Source organism: Homo sapiens, chromosome 17 (assembly GCF_000001405.40).
Source record: "Homo sapiens chromosome 17, GRCh38.p14 Primary Assembly".
Lineage (NCBI taxonomy): Eukaryota > Metazoa > Chordata > Mammalia > Primates > Hominidae > Homo > Homo sapiens.
In genome coordinates, this window is record NC_000017.11 from 57,500,567 (window position 1) to 57,524,942 (window position 24,376).

Genomic DNA, 24,376 nt, shown 5'->3' on the forward strand with positions numbered 1-24,376 from the left:
GCCATCCGGGTCTGTAGGGTGTGTGTGTTGACCAGGCTTTACCCAGAGCACTGTCCTGTCTCTTCTGAAGGTCAGGGCACTCAATGAAGGACAAGTCCAGCTGTGGCCTTTAAATTAGAAGACTAGCCAGGTGTGGTGGCTCACACCTGTTATCTCAGTGTTTTGGGAGGCTGAGCCAGGCAAATTGCTTGAGCTCAGGAGTTCGAGGCCACCCTGTCTCTACCAAAAAAAAAAAAAAAAAAAGGATTAGCAGGGGCATGGTGGCATGTGCATGTAGTCCCAGCTACTTGGGAGGCTGAGGTGGGAGGATCACTTGAGTCCAGGAGGTCAAGGCTGCAGTGAGTTATGATTGTACCACTGCAGTACAGCCTGGGTGACAAAGTGAGACCCTGTCTTGAAAAAAAAAAAAATGAACCAATATGATTAATAATAATGGCAGCATCAAGAGCCTGTACTTCCTATGTGTTTCCATGTGTGTAAATGCTCTGTCACACCGTCTCATTTCACCTCATTTCCCCATAAAGAACATTCTATTAACTGGGGTTCAGAGAGTAACTTGTTCTGTCGCTCACCCAAGATCGCCGTGTGGTTCCTGAGTGTAAGGTGTGAAGCCAAGTCTCTGTGGCCCTGGGGCCCGAGCCCTCAACTGCCCTGCTAGGGTCCAAGCTGACCACTGCAGGGCCTTAGTCTGGAGGAACGGCTTGACTCCGGACATCTGCAGGAGTGTTTGCTGTGTTGAGTTGAGCCCCTCTGCCAGACGTGTCAAAACAAATGCTTTTGTGTGTTTACTGCCTCACACGCTCAGCCAGAAGCTCCTGTTTTATCATCTAGTTTAGATTGAGGGGAAGAGGCTTCATCAGTAAGGACCTGTCTCACTCTTCATCCCACGGCCCTGGGCCAGGCCCTGTTAGCTTTCAAGAAGGCAGTTTATCCCTCAAGGGTGGTCCTGCCTCCAGGCTGCCCCCACCCCATCCCTGTGGTTCTGCGCACAGAATATTGTTAGATTTGATTTTTCCAAGTCGTCTCTCTCAGTGCCTAAAAGAGATTCTGGCGTGCTCAGGGAAGTTTTTTGAAGTGACCAAATGAACAGTATGTGTGCTGATTCATCTCCCCTCACTACTGTCAGGGTGAACCAAGTTCAGCCGTTGGCAACGAGACGGACCTAGAATAGCCCCTGCTCCTGGAGATTTTATTCATAGACCCTTCAACACAGCCTGCTCTTATAGACACAGTCATTACATGTCTTGGGTTTTTCAGGAAGATTTAGATTTTCTGTGTCAGATGATGTATTTAAGATAACTTCAGTCACTGCGTAGCTCTGCAGGACAACCATTTATTACAGGTCTATTTCAATTTTTGAAACTTATAGTAGAGACAGTTGCTAAGTTCAAGCTCTCAGAGCTCACCTCCAGGTTGCATAGCCAGTTTCTAGGAGGGTCCTGGGTTTCAAGAGCAAGAGATTCCCCTCATCCTCCACTCCTGGGCTATAGGCAGGTACAGAGTACAAGGCTCAGAAGGGCCCACCAGCGATGTGGGGCTCTCCAAGGGTCCTCTAGGAAGGAGACCCCAGGGGAGAGAGAATGAGTTGGGGCAACCAATAGGAAAAGGGCTAAGAATCACGTTAACATTTATGGAATAGGCCACGTGCACCTGGCATTTCACACTTGGCACCTGGTTCTTTACCACATTAAAAGATGAGTTTAACTTTTCTCATCTTACAGGTGACGTGGTACAGAGTTTAAGAGCATGGGCTCTGGGGTCCACTGTTGGGTTTAAATCCAGGTTCTTCTCCTCATAAGCAGGATGAACTTAGCCAAATTTCTCAGCCCTCTGGATTTCAGTTTCCTCATTGATAACATGGAGACGATGATAATAGTGCATCCTTTGAAGGTGTAATGTGTGAATTGAACTAGATAACTTTGTGAAATGGCCGGCATAGTGTCAGATCTACAGTAATTGTGTAATAAGAATTAGCTGCTATTATTATTGTTGTTGTTTGAGGGATATGGACAGGGAATGGAGAAGATGACTCTGAGATATATATATATATATATATATATATATATATATAGTCATCATTCTGTCATGCAGGAAGGTCTGGGCTCTAGATTTAAGCCTTCTAGCATCTAATGCTGGGTCACTACTGTGATCAGAGGTCCTGATGAGGCTGTTTGCGTGTTTGTGCACAGAGGCGCATGTGTTGGGAACCGACCACCTACCCTTCCCCAGCACCATTACATACCCAGGCTCTGCTCTGACCTTACAGCCCACCCTCCATGGCCCCCAAGTGGTCTTGGGAGCAGATGCACAGCTGGTGGATTGGGCCTGGGCCCTGGCTTGCTCACCAAGCCCTGAGCTTCTGTTTATGACTAATTGCTTTGTTTGTTCTGTATGAGACACTTAATTTTTTTTTTCAGTGATTTACTCCTCTTTGTAATTAGGTGTGGTGATTAGAATCTTGTTCCTATTACAATGGAGTTTTCCTTTTAATTCATGCACATTCACCAGGCCTATCTCCGTCTGTTCCATTGATTGTCCCCAGTTGGCTTTTCCCAAGCTGTCATATAAATCACAGTTCAGGGGTGGCTTAGAGACTGATACGAGTCCAAGGAATGAAAGAGAGCTGATGGGGAGTTTTGTTATATTCAGCTACCCAATAGTGATACATATTTAAGGATGAAGTCTCAATAAATCAGGGCACAAGGAGTTGGCAAATTACTTTAATAAGTGTTCTTTACTATATCTTCTGCATGTGATTTATTTTTTTATTAAAAATGTCATTACACACACATATACGTTTTGCTAGGAAAAGGTCTGAAAATAAACACTGAAGTGTTAACAGTGGGTGATTTGTATTTTCTTCTCTTTGCTCATAGGCAGTTTCTGCCATGTATATATGACACATGTATTAAAAAATAAGAGGTTTTGCAGGCCCTCCTTTATAACAGATTAGAAACAGCACATTTGTCAACTAGCCCAAGGTCACTTCACACATCAGCAAAAGACTCCAGGTCTTTAAAGTTCCAGAGCAATTGCTCAGTCCCCAGAGCTGACGTTCATCCGTCAGTCAGTCAGCAAGTAGTCATTGAGTCCTGGGTCTGGGGTGAGGGGCAGAGAAGGCATAAGATGTGGTTCCTGTTCACAGGTGCTTATGGTTTAGGGAGAGAGTTGTTTTTGTTTGTTTGTTTGTTTGTTTTTGAGACAGAGTCTTGCTGTTGTCCAGGCTGGAGTGCAGTCGCGCAATCGCGGCTCACGACAACCTCCGCCTCCCAGGTTCAAGCGATTCTCCTGCCTCAGCGTCTCGAGTAGCTGGGACTACAGGCGTGCACCACGATGCCCAGCTAATTTTTGTATTTTAAGTAGAGATGCATGTTGGTCACGCTGGTCTCGAACTCCTGACCTCATGATCTGCCCGCCTCAGCCTCCCAGAGTGCTGGGATTACAGGCCATGAGCCACCGCGCCCGGCCGGGAGAGAGGTTTTTGACAGAAACTTTCTCTTCCCCTGACCATGGCTCTGACCTCTCAAATTCCCCAGACTTTGGTTTCTCCTCCACGGATCCTCCTCCTTCATGATGCTGTGAAGGTGGCCGATGCCAGGGCATTGCCCTCTCGGTTCCGCCTCTTCCTGCAGGGCACCCTCCCTTCCCGTGGTCTCCCATCCAGCCTCCTTGTTGCTAGCTCTTGAGGCTGTGTGCCCTCCCGTTATGACCTCACAAGGCAGCCCCCCGGGATTCTCCTCATGCCTTTCCTTCAGTTTTCCCTTCTGTGGAACACAGACAAAGTCATGTTCCTCCTAAGTAAAGGGCTGGAGAGAATTCAGTGGAATGACAGACCAGTGGACTTGACTGGGGGTGTGCGTCCGAGGGGACCTAGATGTGATGCTGGAAGGCAGGGTAGCTTGCCTCGGGCCATGAGTGCTTGGATATTTCCCTGTGGGCAGTCGGAGACATGGAAGGTTTTCAGTGATCCTTCAGGAAAAGTAACCGGGTCACAGTCAGTGATGCCAGGAAGGTGGCCATCTTGTGTTAGGTCACAACTTACAGTGACAAGGTTCTGAAGCAAAGAGAGTTGTAGAAAAAGTGGCTGGGCGCAGTGGCTCACGCCTGTGATCCCTGCACTTTGGGAGGCCGAGGCGGGTGGATCAGCTGAGGTCGGGAGTTCGAGACCAGCCTGACCAACACGGTGAAACCCCGAATCTACTAAAAATACGAAAAATTAGCCGGGCAGGTGGCAGGCGCCTGGAATCCCAGCTACTCAGGAAGCTGAGGCAGGAGAGTTGCTTGAATCTGGGAGGCGGAGGTTGTGGTGAGCCGAGATCACACCATTGCACTCCAGCCTGGGCAACAAAAGCGAAACTCCATTTAAAAAAAAAAAAAAAGAAGAAAAAGTAAGGAAAGGGGAGAATGGGGGGTCCCATCAAAGGAAGAAATAATAGAATGGGATGGGGTAGCTTGGAAGACAGAGGACCGGGCAAGAGTGTAAAGCTTTCAACTGCAGGAGGTTGGGGTCACTAGTTGAAATGGAGTCTGGGGGAAGGTGTGTTTGTCATTGTTAAGATGTGCTGGGGTTGGAGGTCCCAGAATATCCATGTCACGGGAAACCAACAGCAAAGAAGTGAGCCTGCTGCTCTGGGGACAGGCCTGGCAACAGAGCACAGAGAGGCAATGGCTCTTCTTGCCACCTTCTTGCATAGGGGAGAGAGCTCAGATGGCGAGGGTGGGGGCCATGGATCAGGTAGGATGGATGACGCCCTGGAGTTTTATGGGGTGAGAGAAGAAAAGGGAGCCTGGGAGAGTTACAGAGAGGGGGTAGAGCACCTGGGGCCTAGAAAACCCCAGAGAAAGCATGGACATAAGGGAAGGTTGGGAGTTTAGGTATATTCTTACATTTTCCTTGACGTGTTTTCCTATTTAATAAAAAGGGGTGGGGTCTTCCAGACTTACTGAACAAATTAACAAGGAAAAAGCTCATCCCCTAACATATGCAGGTATTCCTTGCTTTTAGAAAGAATGCCTCACCAGAGTTGCTTAAGCAGAAATGTGTACAACTTGGTAGGCTATTCACTCTTTTGCCAGGGGAGTAAAAACCAAGAGAGAATGAAATTTCAGGTTAAAGCTATGCCAGTGGTTATTTGGTATGGCCGAGTGCCATCTTGGTTTGGGGGTGCGGCGGGGGGTTGTGTATATATTCAAGTTAGTATGTAAGTCAGGGTGGAGTCGGGGGACAAGGTGAAAAGCATATGGGAAATAAAAGCAGTTTCTCTGAAATTCTGTGGCTGTAGATTTCTTTCTCTGGAACCAAAGAGAAACTTTAATGAGTTTTCCTTTGCAGGTAAAGCAGTTTTATTCTGTAGCTGAGACTTCTCTAAATAAAGCAGCCTTCCTTCTACCTCCACTGCTCAGGCTCTCCCTTCCTGATGGCCCCCTCCAGACTCTCTTTAAAACAGAGTTTCATGCATGAGGAAGCATCATAATGTAATACTCATCTTATCTCCACACTTACCCAGCAGGCACTTACAAAAGGACAGTGGGCAAACCTTAGAAATCTCTGTGGCAAGCGGAGGTGGGACGTTTTCTTTAAAGACGCCCTCACCTAGGTCTGTCCAGGGCAGGACCCTGATGGGCCAATTAGCCACGATCAGGGTTTCCCTGCTCCGGCTCTTTCTCTTTGAAAGGCGTGGGCTCATCTTCCTTTACATTTCCAAGGTTCTCCACTTGTCTCCCTCGTGATAAACAGTGTAAGGCGGAGTGTCTAAAGGACTCGGGGAAAACCTGCGGGGTTATTATGGCTCATTTGGTAGATGAGAGGGATCTGTAATTTTCCGTGGTGTATTTGTATGCACAGAGATGTGATAAAGATGGCTTGTAGCCTCTTTCATTTTCCAGATGTCTCACAAGTGGATAAACATCGCTTCTTTCTCTGGCTGTGGGTCTGCTCTTTCTGGTGTGCTCCTGATGCCATGTTCCCTGGGAACGTTCGCAGTCATCTCACCGTCCCCGAGAACAGCCATTTTGTCTTGGCAGGTCTTCCCCTGGCCTTCCGAGGGAGTAGGGAGAAGGCTGCTGTCGGGGGAGGCCATGGGAGTGGAGGGGGCTCTGCCTCGTCTTCCAGAACCGTTCAAACATCTGGATGTGTTTAGCCCTTTTGATTCGAGTTGAGCAAATCTGGAGCTTGCTTTTTGTGCCTGTTGAAGGGCAAACCTTCCTGTGTCTTCCTCCATGTACAGACTGTGGGGACAGCCAGGGTTAGACAGGGCGTCTTGGGAGGGGAAGGACTTAAATCTCATGAAGACAGATTTCTGACAGCTAGGAAATGCCTGGAAATGGTGTGTATGTTGGGGTCAGGGAGGATCTGTAGGGTGATTTTCAAGCCAGTGCAGGCCCAGCCCAGACTCACAAACCTCCCTGCTGCTTGGTTAAACACATCTTAAAGATGCTAATTTTGTTGTACATTGACATGGTGAATGTTTTCCTAGTGTTGAATCCATAATGTATTTGGTATGAAGCTATAAAAAACCCTTTCTTATTTCCCTCCCTTTTATTTTACCTCCAAGATTTGTTAAATGAAGAATTTGTCTTTCTCAATCTATCTGTTTCTCTGTGTGTGTTGGGGGGGGGGGGTGTAAATCTCTTCCCATTGGTTTTTGTCTTTGTCTCTCTGTGTGTGTGTGTGTGTGTGTGTGTGTGTGTGTGTGTGTGTGTGTGTGTGTGTGTCTCCCCCACCCCCGACAATGACTAAGAAGCATTGAGAACTGGGCTTTTTCCTACAGATGCAGTGTGTCTTCTTCAAAGTGGGAGTCTGTGTACTTCTTCCAAAGATCCTGCCTTTGCTCTGCGCAGTTTCAAAGTGTTCACTGTGAACTCATATTCAGACTCTAGCATTTTCTTCTGAATATCCTCACTGGTGATAAATCTTTGGCCTTTGAAAGTGGATGTGATTTTTGGAAACCATTGCCAGTCTTGGTTCCAAATGACTTGTGGCCAAGATTGATTATGCTGTTTTTGGACCAAAATGCAATAGGACTATAAAATAATGACTAGTTGTTTTGCATGAGTTGGGAACTGACTAGAAGGGAATTCCCCACCCCCCTGACCCCCGCCTCACCAAAGTTTCAAGAAAATATTTCAAGTCTTAGTGAATAAAGACAGGGCCTTCCATGGTGACTTCTTTGAAGGGGATGATGACCATATGACGTCCACTCCGGTGTATTTGTCTATCAAACAACAAGACAGAGGGTGTATTTTTTTCTGCTTTTAAATTTGTAGGACGGGTCTTGTTGTATTGCCCAGACTGGTGTCGATCTCCTGGCCTCAAGCGATCCTCCCACCTCAGCCTCCCAAAGTCCTGAGATGATAGGTGTGAGCCGCCATGCCTGGCTTGCTGCATTTTCTTTTTAATCCTTGCTGTGCATTAGATGTGGCACCAAGCCAGCTGATGCTAGATAAAGGGCCAGGGTCGTTTATGAGTTAGTGTTTAGTGAAGACCTACTTCAGAGCGCAGCAGCAGCAGGCATTGCCCTTTTAAAACTCCTGCTGCAGGTCAGCAGCAGCTGTGTCTGGGAGCTCATGGCCAGGACAGAGGAAAGCCATCCTGAGTGCTTCGTCACCCATTCCCTTGCCTGTGGCCCGCTATTGGCTGGCAGCTCTGGACAGGCCATTCTGCATTGATATGAGACCCCCACCTCAATGCCACACACTGCAACCACACCACCCCTTCCTCTGCTGCCCGTATCCAGCGCAGACTTCCCGGACCTCCAGCCCCTACCATGTACAGAATTTGAGGCATCTACACTGACAGCCCTTTCTTTCCCTGTCCTGCCCACAGGAAAATCAACACATTTTCTTCACTAATAAAGTGAAGATTCAAATGACAGGAACCTTAAATCTCATTTTAAAGTGATGAATACAAAATGCATTTGAAGGCTAAAGTTTAGGGTGCTCCAAATAGCTTAAAAGATTTGATGCTGGCTGGGAAGAAGTCTGGAAGTGTTTCTTTCAGGGAGCAAAGAAAAGCCATACCATGGGACATAAGCCCCTCTTTGGAAGGCCTCTTCCAAAGCCTATAGTTTGCCCCCAGAAAGTGATGTTTTGGTTCAGATGCCATCAGATGTGTGGGATTGGCAAGACATGGGAAACAGAGTGCAGCTCACAGATACGCGCGTGAGCCCGGCAGGCCTGGCCAAGGGGAGATAGGAACTGGGAGATGTAGGGCACCTGCTGATGGCAGACAGTGGGCTGTGCTGGGAGGCTTGCACCTGGCTGGATAAAGTGCTGAAGGAGCGTGTTCTTGCACGTGTTCATGCACCCATGGTCAGAGGCCACAAGGCTGTTCCGGGACCCATTCATTAGAATAGAGTCCTCAAGTCCTAAAGTACAGTGTCATCTTCGATGAAAAATGGTTTCTGTGGTCCAAGTGAGAGGACCCCTGAGTCAGATCAGCATCGAGTCATTGCAGAAATCCACAGGGATCCTCGGGCAGCCCTGCCTCCATCTTCCCAGTCTGAGAGATGGGGCAAAGTGCTGCTTCTCAAGGGTTTTGAGGATTAATGAGCTGACATTTGAAAACTGCTTGGGAGACGAATTGGAAGTGCTAAGTATTACTATTTCATGTGGAAGTCTGAAAATAACTGCACCGAAGTGTTCTGATAAATAACTAAATTGAGCTAGTGAGGGGGAAATTTCAGCCGTCTAGAGAGTGTTTCTCTTAAATATTTTTTCTCTCAAGTGGAAAGGAGTGAGGGGGAGAGTGAGGAAGAATTTATCCAGGGAGAATTTGTGTGCGTTATGCCGCCCACAAATGGAAGAATATTGAGTCGGCCTCACCAGTCTGGCGTCATCTTGGTTGCTTGCTTTTTGTTTTGTTTTGTTTTTGAGACAGAGTTTCACTCTTGTCGCCCAGGCTGGAGTGCAATGGTGTGATCTTGGCTCACTGCAACCTCCGCCTCCCGGGTTCAAGTGACTCTCCTGCCTCAGCCTCCTGAGTAGCTGGGATTACACACATCTGCCACCATGCCCGGCTAATTTTTGTATTTTTAGTAGAGATGGTGTTTCACCATGTTGGCCAGGCTGGTCTCGAACACCTGACCTCAGGTGATGCACCCACCTCGGCCTCCCAAAGTGCTGGGATTACAGGCGTGAGCCACCATGCCCAGCTGGTTGCTTGCTTTTTGCTCCTTCTTCAACTCCAAACCCAAGGCATTGCCAAGCAAATGCAGTCCCCCCATGATTAATTCAGTTGTCTCTACCACATGACACCTTCACAAGGTCTTTTCTGCTTTTTCAAAACTTTCCCATCCTTTACGATTAGTGTCATTCCTGAAGATTTTTGGCCAAATGGCAGTTTCTCCATTCCTTCTGTTGTAGCACCTGATTGTGCCACAATCAGTCACTGCATTTGCCCATTGGTTTAAATGTCTGTTTCAGCTTGCCTCTTCACCTGGGGCATGGGAGGCAGAAAGGGTGCATTTTTCATGTGTGCTGGGCCTGCCACGTATTTGTTGTCAGTTTGTTCTTAATTGCGCTGTTTGTCACACCACCGTTCTGCCCCACGAGGTTTCCCCATCTACTCCTTCCTCTGTCTTGGTCCCATAGGACTTTCAGCCTTTTGTGTGGCTGGGTTTTCTGCAGGCCTCTTTGGGGGCTGGTATGGATGGCCTTGGGTGGGGAGGGTGCCTGGGCCCCTGAGGCCCTCTTGATGAGGTGGGATGTTGTGAATGGTGGCCCCATCCCCAGGGAGCCCTCTCGTTTCTTCCTACCCTGATATTTTATAACAAGATGCTCATAAGCCTTTGGTTCCACTGGCGTGAGCTCCTAAATAATGTTGCACTCCTCTTGTTTTTTTTTTTGTTTGTTTGTTTGTTTTGTCTTTTGTTTTTCTGGAGACAGAGTTTTGCTCTTGTCGCCCAAGCTGGAGTGCAATGGCACGATCTCGGCTCACTGCAACCTCCGCCTCCCGGGTTCAAGTGATTCTCCTGCCTCAGCCTCCCAAGTAGCTGGGATTACAGGTGTGTGCCACCACGCCCGGCTAATTTCTGTATTATTAGTAGAGACAGGGTTTCACCATGTTGGCCAGGCTGGTCTCAAACTCCTGACCTCAGGTGATCCACCCACCTCTGCCTCCCAAAGTGCTGGGATTACAGGCGTGAGCCACCACACCCGGCCTCCTCTTGGTTTTAAAAGCCATGCGAGTTCTAAAGTCTGCTGGAGCTGGCCAAGGCAGAACACTCATCTGGAAACACCTTTTAGAAAATAGGCTTATGGCACATTTTTGTGTTTCTCTGGCTTTAGTCCATGGCACATAAACTGGGGTTGGGAGCAGGCATTTAAATCCCCAGGGCTAGCTCTTGTCCTGTCTCTGCCTCGCTGTATCCCGCTCTCTGGAGGTGGGAGGGAGCTGTGCCTGCCATGCATCCACCAAGCAGATGCTTCTGTCCCTGGAATCCCAGCTTTGCTTGGTGATCAGAAACTCCAGGGGTATCAGTCAGTCTTGACCCTTTGGAGGAGGTCACCACCACATCCAGGCAGGGACAGCGATTTATGCTTTTCCACTGATACCTGTTCTAGAACCAGAGGGGGTCAGCCAGCATGGTGCACTGAGTCCCCAGAGCAGGGTCCCAGGTGCAGCCTGAAGGATGGAAAAGACATGGGCCCTGCCCTCAGGGAGCGGATGCTCTGGCAGGAACTTACCATGGTCATGCAGACGTCAGGGTGGAACAAAGGAAGGCGCATTAATAAACCGCAAATGTGAAGTGAGTAGAATAAAAGGTAGAGTGGCGACCCACCCGCTCAAATATATTGAGTAGCCTCTCCTTCCCCTTACCGCCACCCACCCCACACTTACCCAGAGACACAGAGAAGGTTCATTAAGCTGGAATAGTCATCTTTCCTTCCTGCGTGCCTTGAGACTGGGGCTCCTCGGCTTTCGAGACCATCTGGGCTCAAGTCCTGCTGGCTCAGAACGCCTCTCATTTGCTCCTGGAGCGGGGTGTTGCCCTGGGGAGGCAGGTTTCTCTCGTGCGTACGGATGTTGTTTCCCGGGGTTGATGCAGCGTACTAACCCCAGCTCTGCCTCTGGCCTGCTGTGTCACCGTGCACAGCAGGGTTGATTAAGCCCCTGACCCCTTGACCTCAGTTGGCACTGTTGGATGTCCCCCAGGCTATTTGGCAATGGGGTATTGGTTTCAGCAGAGACTGAAGGTGGTCTCTCTGACATCATTTTGTTCCCCCAGGTTTCTTTCTGAAAAGCCAGAACCTCACCTTCAGGGTGGAGGCCCAGCCATTCCGCAGCTCACACAGGCCAGGCCCACACAGACAGCTGTGCTTTCTGCAGTTTCCCTGCCCTGCTCCCGTGGCTTACATTCCACTCCAGACACACACACCTGCTGCTCCATTACCAGGTCCCTGGTGCCCCTTTGCTTAGAAACCACCTCCTGCCATTTTTGTGATGAACCGTCTCCCCCAGCTAAGTTAGTGTCATTTTTACCCTGAGTATTCAGAGCCCTTGAGTGCATGAATGAATGACTAAAAACTGGGCCTTGACAGAGTGCCTGTATGTGCGCTGCATGGGGCCTGCACAGCCTAGAGCACTTATCACGTATCCTGCACTGATGGCGCCTCTGTCCCCATGAACTCAAGGACAGGAATCAAGTCTTCCTCATTTAAAAAGTCTTTGGGCCTAATATGGTAAATATGAGTTGATTAATTTTTTTTTTCAAATGAATGAATGGATTCTAAAGGTAGCACCACTGCCTCTGACAAACTTCTTTTTAAGTTAAGGGCTGCCCATTTGCTGAACAGAAGGAGCTCATTCAGCCCAGTTGTTAGGGCATTAAGTGGGCTTAGGGTAATAGCTCTGAAGCTGCTGTCACCTGTTGCCATCTGGCCAGAGTAGCCTCCTCAGGTAAGGGCTGAATCTCTTTGCTATGCAGGATGACACAGGGGGTCCTCACTGGAATAGAGGTTGGCCTCAGTGAGTTAATTTCCTCGTTGAACAGAACTCAGAGGCCGCAGAGTCTTAGTTAAGACTTGGCTGTAAATCACAGAAACCATCTCATGTCGGCACAAGCCTGTCTGTCCCTCTCTGTTGCCTGGTTTTCCATGCTTCTGCAGCCTTGTGGCAGGACACGGCTGCCTCCCATGTGGGCAGCATGGGCTGGACAGATAGATGTTAGAGAAAGTGGCCATTGTGTCTCATCCTGGGTACTCCTTGCTCAGGTGAAGCCAGCCTTGCCACTAATTTTAACTTCACTTAGCATCAACATCCTAACTGTAGAAAGAGGGAGGTCCTCAGACATGAACAATACTAGATCTTCTGACCAGCTCGCTGAGGATGTAATAATAATGGATGGCAGCTGTTTAGTTCTTCTTATGTGCCAGAATATTGCACATGAATTAGCTTCTTCCTTTTTTTTTTTTTTTTTCCTTCTGAGACAGAGTCTCACTCTGTCTCCCAGGCTGGAGTGAAGTGGCATGATCTTGGCTTACTGCAACCTCCACCTCCCGGGTTCAAGCGATTCTCCTACCTAAGCCTCCTGAGTAGCCGGAATTACAGGTGCCCGCCACCACTGCTGGCTAATTTTTGTATTTTTAGTAGAGATGGGGTTTCACCGTGTTGGTTAGGCTGGTCTCAAACTCCTGACCTCTGGTGATCCACCCACCTCAGCCTCCCAAAGTGCTGGGATTACAGGCATGAGCCACCACGCTCGGCTGAATTAGCATCTCTTAATGCTCATAACAGCACTATGAGATAGGTACCAACTTGAAGTGAAGTAACAGAGGCACAGAAAGGTTGAGTAATCTGCCCAATGTCACACAGCTAATAAATACTAGAGCCAGCATCCAAGCCCAGGGAGTCTAGCTCTAGAGTTTCTGGCCTCTCCCATTAGTCTGTACTGGTGAGCTGGGACCTGGGTCTAGGTGCCCTAGCAGGCACTGTTTGTGGACACATGGGTCATTGGCAGAAGAACTGCAATGCCTTTTATAAATCTAGAATTCGACAGTGTCACCAAGCAGATGGGATTCTGCAAAAGACAGGACTATATGCCCATGACCACATTTGCCATCATTTGATTTTAAATTGACAGCAGTTAGGGCGGAGGGGCTCCTTCACTGCAGTCCCTCAGGGAGCCTCACCCCCCTCCCGGGCTCTCAAACCCTCTGGCCAGCTCCTTGTGCTTCTCCTGTGGTGATGAAGGGCAGTTTCTTGAGTGCCACATAGTTCCTGAGATCTACAGAGACATCTTGACCTTGGAAATTCCTATCGTTCTTAGAAAATCCCTAGTTCTGGAGCTAAAGTAGGAAAAATTATAGAGCTGAGTAGTTGAGGAGCAGTTTAATTAAAAACGACAAAAAAAGAAATGTAAATGAATTAGGCAAAAATCTTCATGGGGCATCATTATTGGTAGAGGAGGACCCTGAGAGGAGATTAAGATTTCCTTTTATTTATTTTTAAGTTCCATTGTAATTGAACCCTTAGGCTTGAGAGGGTAAGGATTCCTCACACAGTCTGATTTCAACAAGAATTTGTCTTTGTTAATTTATATAGGGAAGTGTAGTAAATCTACCAGGAACAGGACGTTGGCCCCTGTACTATTTCAAGGGGGTCTTGAGAGTAATAGCGCCTGACAGTTTTCCAGCAGCTAAGGGATTTTTTTTTCTGCTTCAGAAAGCAAAATGTTGTATGAGTTGTGCAAAATGTAGAAATGATTTGAAGAATTAGGGTGCAGCAAATAGTACAGTTTTCAGCAAAGCACTGAAGACTTCATCAAGTTATAAAGTTAGCAAGTGGAGGGAAGACAGGGGTGGACCAGTGGGGTACAGCACAGGTGTGCTGTGGGCCTGTCATTCTTGTTTAATTTCCTTTTTCCCTGGTCCCAATTTGAATTGCCAAAATATGTTAGATTGCAGTGCATTATTTCATTTGCCTGCTTTGTAATTCCTCTTTACCTCAAACAGATGAAAACATGGCACTAAAGCAAATTGACAGCTCTTGAAATGAGAAAGATCTTTATCCTTCAGAGTGTTGATGTAGAAATAAATGAAAGAAAAACATACTTGTTGGGTCTTGAAGCAGCTTGAATTGATACTTTTTTTTTTTTTTTTTTTTTTAAGGGAAGATATGGGTTTTTCCCTCTCCGTTCTTTTTTCCCCCTTAGGGTGTTGTGTGGCTCAGGGATTAAGTAGGAGGGTTGGTTATTCTGTCAATACTCATTTACAAAGATCTGAGTCATGATTTGGGTGTAAGGAGTAGACCAAAAATTTCCAACCTCTCAGGGTCAACAGAAGGAATGCCGAGTCCTCAAGTTGACTTCCTTACCTCAAAAAATCTATCAGGCACCATGGGTACCCCACCCCAAACCACATATGGGCCAACTGAAATGTCAGGCCTGCTTGCCTTACACAGAGCACCCCGACACACCCCATCCCAGCCACTTCACGCTGCCAAAAAGCTCCAGTGATGATCAGGATGAATATTGATAAATGATTTTCCATACTTCAAAAGTAAGTAGTTTGGTGTATGAAAGATCTCAAAACATTTAAGGTCTGTGTTTCAAAAATTAAATGAAAGACAGGCCTAATGGCTCAAAATAGAAAGATTGGAAACCACTGGGTTTGATGCTCTTTTTTATCTGAGTCTATTTTGTTTTGTTTTGTTTTGAGACGGAGTCTCGCTCTGTTGCCCAGACTGGAGTGCAATGGCATGATCTCGGCTCGCCGCAACCTCCGCCTCCCGGGTTTAAGCAATTCTCCTGCCTCAACATCCCGAGTAGCTGGGATTACAGGCGCCTGTCACCATGCTGGGCTAATTTTTGTATTTTTTAGTGGAGATGGAGTTTTGCCATGTTGGCCAGGCTGGTCGTGAACTCCTGACCTCAGGTGATCCATTTGCCTCGGCCTCCCAAAGTGCTGGGATTACAGGTGTGAGCCACTGCACCTGGCCTTATCTGAATTCTTTTCTTTATCCTCCAAAATCTTCCTGAAACTCAACAGTACGCACTTATTGGACGCTTATTTTTGTATTAATCCCTCTAGTGGGCGCTAGGTAGGGAATGCAGAGCTGTATATGAAATTTCCTGAGGACTAGGGAGAGGAAGCGATGGGGGAGTGTGGACCACCAATTCATGTATTCATGTGACAGAATAAGATTTCAGAGTTGTGTATGCCAGCGCCAAATACAAGAAACAGATAAGGGATAGATATTTCTACTGTATGCCTACCTTATTTATGCCTACTTTATCCAAATCAACAGAAATGAGGGCATAGTTGTTTGTATTATAAACAGATCTGCCATGGGGTTTCTTGAAATCATGAGCCCCCTTGTGGTTTCTTTTTATTATTATTATACATTTTTATTTTAAAATAGTGTAGGACTCACAAGAAGTTGTAAAAATAGGACAAAGAGCTCTTGTGAACCCTTCATCCAGCTTCCCACAATGATAGTACTCCCATAACCACAGTACTTTGTTAAAGCCAGGAAACCAGTGTTGGTACCTTATCAGTTTTCATGTGTATTTGTGTGTAATTCTTTAAAATTGTACTACCTGGAGATTTGAGTAACTATCACTACAATCAGGATATATAATAGAACTGTTCCATCACCCCAACAAACTCCTTGTGTTTCTCCTTAATAGTTACACCCTGGCCCCACTCCTAACTCCTGGCAACCACTGATCTGTTCCTCATCACAATAATGTTGTCGTTTTGAGAATGTCACAGAAATGGAGTCATACAGTATGTAATACAGCCTTGATACTGACTTTTTCACTTGGTATGATCCCTCTGGTCAGTTGTGCACCAGTTGTGTACCAGCTGTATTCCATTGTAGGAATGGAATGGAATGGTTTGTTTGTCCATTCCCCCTGTGTTTCCAAAAGATGGTTTATTTGCATGCGACCCATTGCATCACAGTACATCAAGCCGGGTACACTTACAAAGTTAAACCTCACTCATCCGTACTGATTTCACAACTTTGTAGTTATCAATACAAAGTCTGTTATCCCATTATGCAGTCCTCATCCAACAGATATTTGTTGAGCATCTGTGCATGCCGGGGCTGGAATGCATTCTGGTAATAGCATAGGGTAGTCATTTGCCACAGGCCAAATGCTTTCCTGCGTGTTGTATCAATAGTTTCTACTTTTCAATGCTGGGGTGAAGGTTAACAGTGATCACGTGTTCCTTTTACACACAAGGAAGCTGAGCTGCTTTGGAAAGCCATGCCCAAGATCATGCGTAAGTGGAAATGGAGTGGGATTTGAACCCAGGATGTGTGATGGCATGCCAAGTTTCTTTTATTCTGTAACTGTGGCTTCAACTGTACCCGCTGAATTGCTTACAGCCAGTTTGCTCCTCTAGAAAATGAGTGGACTGGACTCATATCCTTTTTATCCTCTCTGCCTTGAAGAGTTTATGATCCTCCCTGAACAAGAAGTAACTTTGCCCAGTGACTGCATCTCTCAGCCTGTTGCTGCACTTGAAGTTTGTTCTCAGCAGCATTTTCTTAGCCATTATTTGAAGACAGTTTCGGAATTCAAAAGTAGCAAATTAGAATTCCTCTAAAAACAGTCGGTAGTTCAGACCTTCCCTCATTTTGCTAATTTTTGACAGGGTCTTTGGGTCAGGACCAGGACTGGGAAACCCATGGGACTCTAGGGATGACTTTAGGGATAAGGGGATTGGGGAGATTGGCTGCCAGGCAGCCCAAAGGGGAAGGAGCAGGAACTTCCTTGGATGTCATCAAAGCCCCATGAAGAAACTCTGGGGCTGAGTGGTGCTGAGTGCGCTGATTCGGGTGCCTGATGCTATACAGTTCGCAGAATTCTGCCTTGTGCCAGAATTGCTGGGGATCAGAGGAGGCTGCTATTTCAGGCATCTAAGTGCTACTGCTGCTGAATTCAGGCCTGAGCAGCTTGTCCGAGAGGGCGGGGCAGAGATGCTCCTCCAAGCTTTTGAAGCTCCACGAAGGGTTCAAAGGAGTCTTGGAGAAGGGATTCCTGTACTGGGCGGGAAGTGGAAAGGTGACCTTTGGGTCACTTCTAACTCCTGAGTCTGTGATTCTGAGGCAAATGGAACTTCCTCTCTCCCTCGGTTACCAACATGCACTCCAAGATCTGGCTGAGTTCATTGGAATCAAAGGCTGGTACCTTCAAAGGGCTGGTGGAGAGAAAAGGGCCTGGGGCTTGGGAAACCTGCAGCTACTCCGTGACCTCTGGCTTATCCCCTTGCCCCTCCTCTGTTGTGGCCAAGAAAAGTGGTGGGGCTCTGGGACCCAACAGACCAGAGTCCACCTCCCATCAGAGTGGCAGAAAGAGATGGTGGGGGATGGGGAGGCACCGTAGTACAGGGGTGTCAGAGAGCCCAAAGGTCATTCTAAACACACATTTTTTCATCTGTGCTCTGCAACCAACTCTGCGTGTTTGTCAGACAAAAGAGCTTTAATAAATATTAGTTTAATGAATAAATGTGTCACCTTGGCAGAGCTCTCCCTCTCCCTCAGTCTTCTTTTTTCATCAGCCAGTCTTAAAGAGAGCAGGGTGGAAGATGTCTGAAGCCCTGTCCTGAAAGCTGATGCCCTCAGAAGTTCCCTGCACTGGGGCCCCTGGCCTTTCTGAAATGTAGGCAAGCCCTTCATCCCATTATCAAGCCATGTTATTTACCCTCCCTGTTTTCCAGACAGAAAGAAGGTGCAGATGGCCCATGGGATTAAAATTGGGATTGGAACCAAGATTTTCCAAGCCTACAAAACTCCTTTCTCCTCTCCCCCTCCCCTCCCCAGGCGTATGGCTGCAGCTACGCTTGTCACCATCCGAGACTGCATTGGCCACAGGAGATGTGGATGATTTTTCCATTTGTCCTGATGTTTATTTCATGCCCATCAATATCAGCCCGTATTAGGACAGATGAGGTGGCTATTTACAGGCTGTGCATTTTCACACTTGGTAATTATAAACCCTTCCCTGGTTCGGTCAGAGTCGTGGAGATCCATTTTGGCAATTAGCAGTTTAGTATTTGTTTAATGGGAATGTGAGAGAGTGTTCCGGCACATCAGTGCTCCCCTAAATGATTTGCCTCTCTCCTCTGGAGCTGGCAGGCTTGGGCCTTTTTCATGGTAGGTGAGGCCTGATGGGGAGAGGCTGGAGAGGGGGAGAAGGGAGCATTCAGCAGTTCAGCAGCCTGCCTGCCACTCCCCTCCCCCAGCACATGCACGCACGCACTCACAATCAGTGCTGAACACGGGCCTGGATTTCCAGAGCACAGCAGCCGCCACTTGAAGGAGCCTCACACGAGAGGCCGTTAGGCCAGATGCCATTTCCATGTGACAGCTGTCAAGCCTGCCGGATCCAACTGCTGCTCCTCAAACAGCTCTCTCTCTCAGTGTCTCTCTCCCCTTCCCTCATCGCCTCCTCTCTACACCCCATCTCAGATATCCCCAGTGACAGCCTGCTGCCCCACTCTCCAGGGTGGTGCTTGGGCCCACGGCTTTGCAAGCTCAGCCAGAATGGAGCTCCCACCCAGTCCTACCTCTCACCGGGAGACTCTGCCTTCCCTGGCTTAGTCTTGAGATAGGGCCTCCTGGGACTGCTCCCCCAAGGGCACACTGGTTCTGTTAGTGGCCTTCCCTTGGCATAGTCCATTCACAATAAGAAAACCCACAGCATTGGGTGTGGCTCCCGGCTTAACTGCATGGACCATGTATGGGTGTGTGCATGCAGGCGAGGGGATTGCCAGGATGGGGCAGTGAATTGAGCCAGTGTCTGTTATGATGAGCATTTTCTGTGTGGTAGGCGCTCACTGGCTACCACATGAGCCTTCCTAACAACTCCAGGAAGCAAGACACACTGAGTATCCTTAGAGTCACTGCACGGGGCGGGGAGACTCGCATGGCTGAGCCTGGACTGCGTTCCAGAGCCCTCTGGCAGTTCCAGCTCTGCTAGAGGCTTGCTCCATGACTATGGAGGAGCCCGGTGATCTCGAGCTTTTGGAATTCACTTATCTAAAAGGAAGAGACCCAATATCCTCCTCTTTCCTTTACCTTTCCAATCATTCCTCCTCTCCCGAGCCTACCGGGGCAATATACCTCCATTTCCTTGAGGTTACCTAATCACCTCTATTCACTTTTTGGTAGAGTTTTAAAGCAGTGTTTGTTGGTTCATCCAGCAGACAGGGGCACTGCACAAAGCTCTTAGGGATTCAAAAAACAGAACACAAGTAAGGGAGAACAGAAGACTTAGGGACTCATCTGATTTTAACTACTGGCTCCACCATTTACTTACCTGTGTGATCCTAGGCAAGTCACTTACTGTCGGTGAACCACAATTTCCTCACCTGTAAAATGGGTGTATGATGCCACGTGTGTGGGCACGTGCCTGTAATCCCAAGCTACTCAGGAGGCTGAGTCGGGAGGATCGCTGGAGCCCAGGAGTTTGATACCAGCCTGGGCAGACAAATCGAGACCCCATCCCTACAAAAAATAAAAAATAAAAATTTTTAAATTTTAAAAAGAGAAAAAAAATGGGTGCCTGAAATGGGTATGATAGTATCTACCTCCAAGCTATTGCAGTAATTAAATGAGCTTTGCAAATTGCCTATTACGCTCCAGTAAATGGTAGTTATTATAACAATCATTATTTCAGGAGGATAGACATTTTATAACTTAGAGTCTGATACAGACTTGTGGAATCAGAATCTCTGAGCAGGAGGTTTTGCCTTAGGTAGATAAAATGTCTACGTCTCCAGGATTAAGTTGTCTGAAGACCCCACATCTTTCAGTTCCCATGGGCAGGTGTCCCTTTGTTGAATTCATAACTGCTATCTGATAAACATTGTGCGTTTTTTCTTGTAAGCTAAATGGGAAAATAGAATGATCCCACAAGAATAAAAGAAGTAAATGTAGGAAAAAATTAAGGGCTGTAAAGGTCTTGCTAATGGGGACAAAATACTCTGGCCATTGTAAGGTGTGGGAGCCTTCTGTGAAGAGTTCGAGAAATGTTCTTAATGCCACTGAACTGTAGACCCCAAAAATGGTTAAAATGATAAATTTTATTTTATATATTTTTTGCCACAATTAAGAACAATTTTTTTCATTTAGGAGATATTTTATTTTATTTTTGAGGCAGTCTTGCTCTGTCGCCCAGGCTGGAGTGCAGTACCATGATCTCAGCTCACTGCAGCCTCCGCCTCCTGGGTTCAAGCAATTCTCCTGCCTCAGCCTCCAGAGTAGCTGGGATTACAGTTGTGCACCACGACACCCAACTAAATTTTTTTTTTTTCTTGTATTTTTAGTAGAGATGGAGTTTCACCATGTTAGCCAGGCTGGTCTTGAACTCGGGACCTCAAGTGATCTGCCCACCTCGGCCTCCCAAAGTGCTGGAATTACAGACGTGAGCCACTGCCCCCAGCCCTAGTTGAGGAGAAATTATGTAGACTTTTTCTCTTGTTAGTCAGTAAAGGCCTGGGTTCAAATTAAAATAAACAGGCTTTCAGATGGATGCAAACTAGCATTTTTTGACATTTGGAATGAAGGAAAAACGTGCCTGGCAGCAGCAGCTGGGATAGAAACTCCAAGCGCACCTTCATCACTGCAGTCTTCCAGGGGTAAACACACAGGGACAGAAAGGCTGGCTGTAGCAGGAGGAGGCCAAGAACCTGAGATGGGCAGGAAGGCAGCGGCTGGCAGGCTGAGGCTTGGACTCAAAAGCCCAGCATCTGAACCCCAGGCCCAGCCCCTGCCGGCTCTAGGACAAACCAGTAGGAAAACTGAGTCTCAGAGAATTTGTAATACTCCCTTTCTCGTGGGGTTATTGTGACCACGAAAGTAGTAATAATACCTGTGAAAATATTGGTGGTGATGGGAAAAAAAACAATGGTTTTGTTAGGTTTTCTTAAAGCCCTCTGTTCATTTTTGGCTCTTCCGAGCTGCTTCTCATATAGAACTTTGGCTTTCTTGTACTAAGACTGAGTTAAGCTTAAGGAGAGCCCTAAGAAAGTAGGATGAGGCAAGGAGTGCCTGCTCCTGACTTCTGGCAGGGAATGAACTTCTAATCTTTAGGCAGCAGAAGGCCCATTAATACTCATTTACTTAGGGCCTGTCTACACACACATATGCTGTGTTACGGCTCAACTCAGCTCTATTTAGCCATTTAGAACGGTGGGTCTCGGCCTTGGCTGTACCCTGGATCACTGGGGAGCTTTAAAAAATCCTCTTTCGGGCTGCCCACTCCAGAGTACTGATTTAATAGGTTGGGGTGTGGCCTTGGTGAGCAGTCACGGCTGAAAAATCACTGATGTAGATTTCAGAATGAACCAATGGGATTTTCCAGTCTGCTCCTTCTTCTCCGTCCTTCCTCTTTGGAGAATGGTTAAAGACAGACCAACCCCACCCTTTTCAAGGCCAGAGCACACGGAAAAGTCTTATTTCAATAAACTACACATTATTCCTGAGCTTTACGGAAGGAACCGATTTGGGTTTTGCCTAAGCTGGCAGGGAGAGAGGTGGAGACAGTGCCTTCCCATGTTCTGCGTAATCCTGGACCCAGGCAGCGGCTGTCTCCACCACAGGCCCCAGGCACCTGTGGCCTGGGCAGTCCTGCCACCTCAGCCGAGTCTCACTCTTGTGGCCTTAGCTCCTTGAGTTTACAGAGCATAATGCCTGTTAAGCCTGACACACTATAGTATCATGGTATTGCATTTGAGGGTGTTTATTTATACTAACACTTGGAGCGTTTGAGTGGGAGCAGGAAGAGAAATTCAAGGGCATTTGTTCTGGGGGAGTTTGGAGAGCTGGGTTTCTTCTCTTCCCTTTCCCCTCCCTCCTTGCATTTGACCAGATAATTTAAGGATCATCTGAAGTGCCGTTTCCTGCTTTGTTCTTGATATGTGTGGCTTGCGGGTGTGTATATTTATATCCCCAGAGGAGTAGGACATTTCTCAGGGCATGCATCGGCCACAGCAAAGCTCTGGAGCAGCCTCACAGCACAGAGAGTTTGCAAAAGCCCAGTGGCCAAGTCAATGCTTCCAGAGCATCGTCCCAGCTGCCTCTGGAGTCCATGTTAGCATTCCAGGCAGAGAGTCTTTATGCATGGATCTTAGGGGCCATCTCATAGAATTTCCTCCTTTCACAGAAGAAAAACTGAGGATAGAGGAGGGAGGTGACTGGTCCTCAGTGAGATCCTGGTGGGGCTGGGATTAGAACCTGGACTCCCTCCATGCTTGGTGCGGCACTCCCCACCACACCCAGCTGCCTCCCAACACCTGCTGAGTTACGTACCAGCAACACTGCTCTTTAGCTGTCTCCTGGGAACAAGTTTTTTGTGTCCTCAGATCAGTTCAGCTTCACTCACCTACTATGTATTTGGGGAGCCAAAACTGTAAAACCTTCAGCAGAAGAGGCAGTGGTCCAGGGGACATACTGTAGGTTCCCACCCATTAGCCAGCTAACTGGACAATAGCATTTTTGACCTCCCTCCATGTACCTTTGCATTGTGTCCTTTTTTTTTTTTTTTGAGGTGGAGTCTCACTCTGTCATCCAGGCTGGAGTGCAATGGCGTAATCTCAGCTCACTGCAACCTCCACCTCCCAGGTTCAAGCAATTCTCCTGCCTCAGCCTCCCGCGCAGCTGGGATTACAAGCACACACCACAACGCCCACCTAATTTTTTGTATTTTTAGTAGAGACGGGATTTCACTATGTTGGCCAGGCTGGTCTCGAACTCCTGACCTCAGTGACCTGCCCACCTCTGCCTCCCAAAGTGTTGGGATTACAGGCGTGAGCCACCACGCCCGGCCTGCATTGCGTCTTTAAAGTTTTCCTATTCAGCCAGCACGTGAGCTGGGCTGTCTCAAGTCTAACCCCTGGATGTGGTCAGTACCATCTGGCTACTTCTAAAATCACCCAGCAAGAATGCCTGGCTCACAATAAATCTTTTGACTCATTAGAAAGAGGGTTCACTCATTCACTAAATGAATTAGGATTAGAGAGGCATCACCCACTGACTTGAGTGGTAATTATTGCTGATTTTCACGGTGCTCATTTAGTGAGGAACATGTTGCCAGTTTCTCTTGGCGCTTCTAGGATCTCTGTCTCCAACCTTGCTGATGGGGTGAGATTTAGAAGAGGTCCGTCCACACCTTAATGCCTGTGTTCCATGTGGAATGTTCCATGAAGAGCGTGCTCCATGTGGAATGTGGAACCTGATAGTTTAATTCTCTGCCACATTTAGCACTTTCCCTTATTCTGCCCCTTTTCTTTCCTTTGCTTTCTAGTATTATTTTAGACTGTCTATCTTCTGATTACAAGCTTTCTTTGTTGTTTTGGGGGATTTTTTTAGAATGAGGACCACGTATGAGTTACCTATGGCCACAAGAATGCTGTGTAACTAACCCCAAAACTTCAGGGGCAGGCAGTAACTGTTTATCTCACGTGTTTGGAGTAAACTTGGAGTGGTTCTGCTGATCCTGGCTGGCCTCACTTGCATGCTTTGAGGGTGACTGGCTGTCCACCCATCTAGGCTGGCCTCGGCACAGGGAAGTTGGCCCTGCTCCATGTGCCACCCATCCTGCATCAGGCTAGCCTGGGCATGCCCTTGTCATGGTGATGGCAGAGGTGCAAGAGAGAACAAGCAGGAACTTGCAAATCCTCTTAAGGCTAGGCCCAAAACAGGCATACTCTTCCCCCCACCGCATTTTATTAGCCCTAACAAATTAAGCCCAGATTCAAGGGATGAAAGTAGACTCCACCTCTTTGGGGGAGAAGGACCGCAAACTCACAGAGGAACGGGTGTGAGACCATTCATATCATCAGTCCACCATAGACCTGTGTGAGTTGTCTTTTATTTGTACTTAGGCTGATGTTTTGCAAATAGCGAATGCCTCATACATGCATGTTGCATAAAAGTAAATAAAGTTACCATTTGCTAAGTTTTCTATTCAAGATTGGATTGGCTGCATAATCTAGACATGAGTTTATCTGTTAGATAGATCTAGACATGAGTTTATCTGTGAATAAGAGTTTATCTGTTAGAAGGAAAGTTTATGTCATCCTAGTAGAATCTGGATTTTTCTTTCATCGGGTGCAGGGCAAGTTGGTTGCCACTAAGAAATCCCTCTTCTTATCATCTTTTCCATCGTGGGGTCTACCATCATCATTTTTAGGATTTTAGAATATAAACATCTGAGAGAAGGGGAACAAAGAGAGGGAGAACTTGCCACACTGAAGTGTGGAACTTGCTCCTAGATGGGAAATTTTGTTTCATGTATTGACCACTGAGTGTATGTTAAAGAGGAAGAAGCAACCTCTGCCCAGTGTCTTTAACCTTTGCTCTTGCTTCTTACCCTTAGAGTAGCTCATGGAAAGAGGGGTCTCTGGGCCAGCAGCTGCATCA

General features: G+C 47.4%; 1 protein-coding gene and 1 long non-coding RNA gene across 13 annotated transcripts in view, besides 4 other annotated features; one reads left to right on the top strand and one right to left on the bottom strand.

The window, feature by feature from the left end:
- Window positions 1-24,376, top strand: part of MSI2 (musashi RNA binding protein 2) — a 445,731-nt gene that overhangs the window by 244,716 nt on the left and 176,639 nt on the right. The gene's annotated exons all lie outside the window — the stretch shown is intronic.
- Window positions 6,136-6,663: an enhancer, noted in NCBI's record as "H3K27ac-H3K4me1 hESC enhancer chr17:55584063-55584590 (GRCh37/hg19 assembly coordinates)". NCBI's record gives its function as "activates a minimal SCP1, AML or CMV promoter by ChIP-STARR-seq in primed H9 embryonic stem cells {active_cell/tissue: H9 hESC(primed)}" and the evidence as "EXISTENCE:reporter gene assay evidence [ECO:0000049][PMID:30033119]".
- Window positions 10,454-11,048: an enhancer, noted in NCBI's record as "H3K27ac-H3K4me1 hESC enhancer chr17:55588381-55588975 (GRCh37/hg19 assembly coordinates)". NCBI's record gives its function as "activates a minimal SCP1, AML or CMV promoter by ChIP-STARR-seq in primed H9 embryonic stem cells {active_cell/tissue: H9 hESC(primed)}" and the evidence as "EXISTENCE:reporter gene assay evidence [ECO:0000049][PMID:30033119]".
- Window positions 11,049-11,642: an enhancer, noted in NCBI's record as "H3K27ac-H3K4me1 hESC enhancer chr17:55588976-55589569 (GRCh37/hg19 assembly coordinates)". NCBI's record gives its function as "activates a minimal SCP1, AML or CMV promoter by ChIP-STARR-seq in primed H9 embryonic stem cells {active_cell/tissue: H9 hESC(primed)}" and the evidence as "EXISTENCE:reporter gene assay evidence [ECO:0000049][PMID:30033119]".
- Window positions 21,682-23,031, bottom strand: LOC101927557 (uncharacterized). The gene is made up of 3 exons (NR_110808.1): window positions 22,990-23,031; window positions 22,265-22,340; window positions 21,682-22,126 (listed from the first exon to the last, which is right to left on the bottom strand). It is a non-coding gene; the product is annotated as an uncharacterized LOC101927557 (long non-coding RNA).
- Window positions 23,167-24,366: an enhancer, noted in NCBI's record as "MED14-independent group 3 enhancer chr17:55601094-55602293 (GRCh37/hg19 assembly coordinates)". NCBI's record gives its function as "activates an origin of replication core promoter dependent on BRD2, BRD4, P300/CBP and CDK7 cofactors, and independent of MED14, by STARR-seq in HCT116 cells {active_cell/tissue: HCT116}" and the evidence as "EXISTENCE:reporter gene assay evidence [ECO:0000049][PMID:35650434]".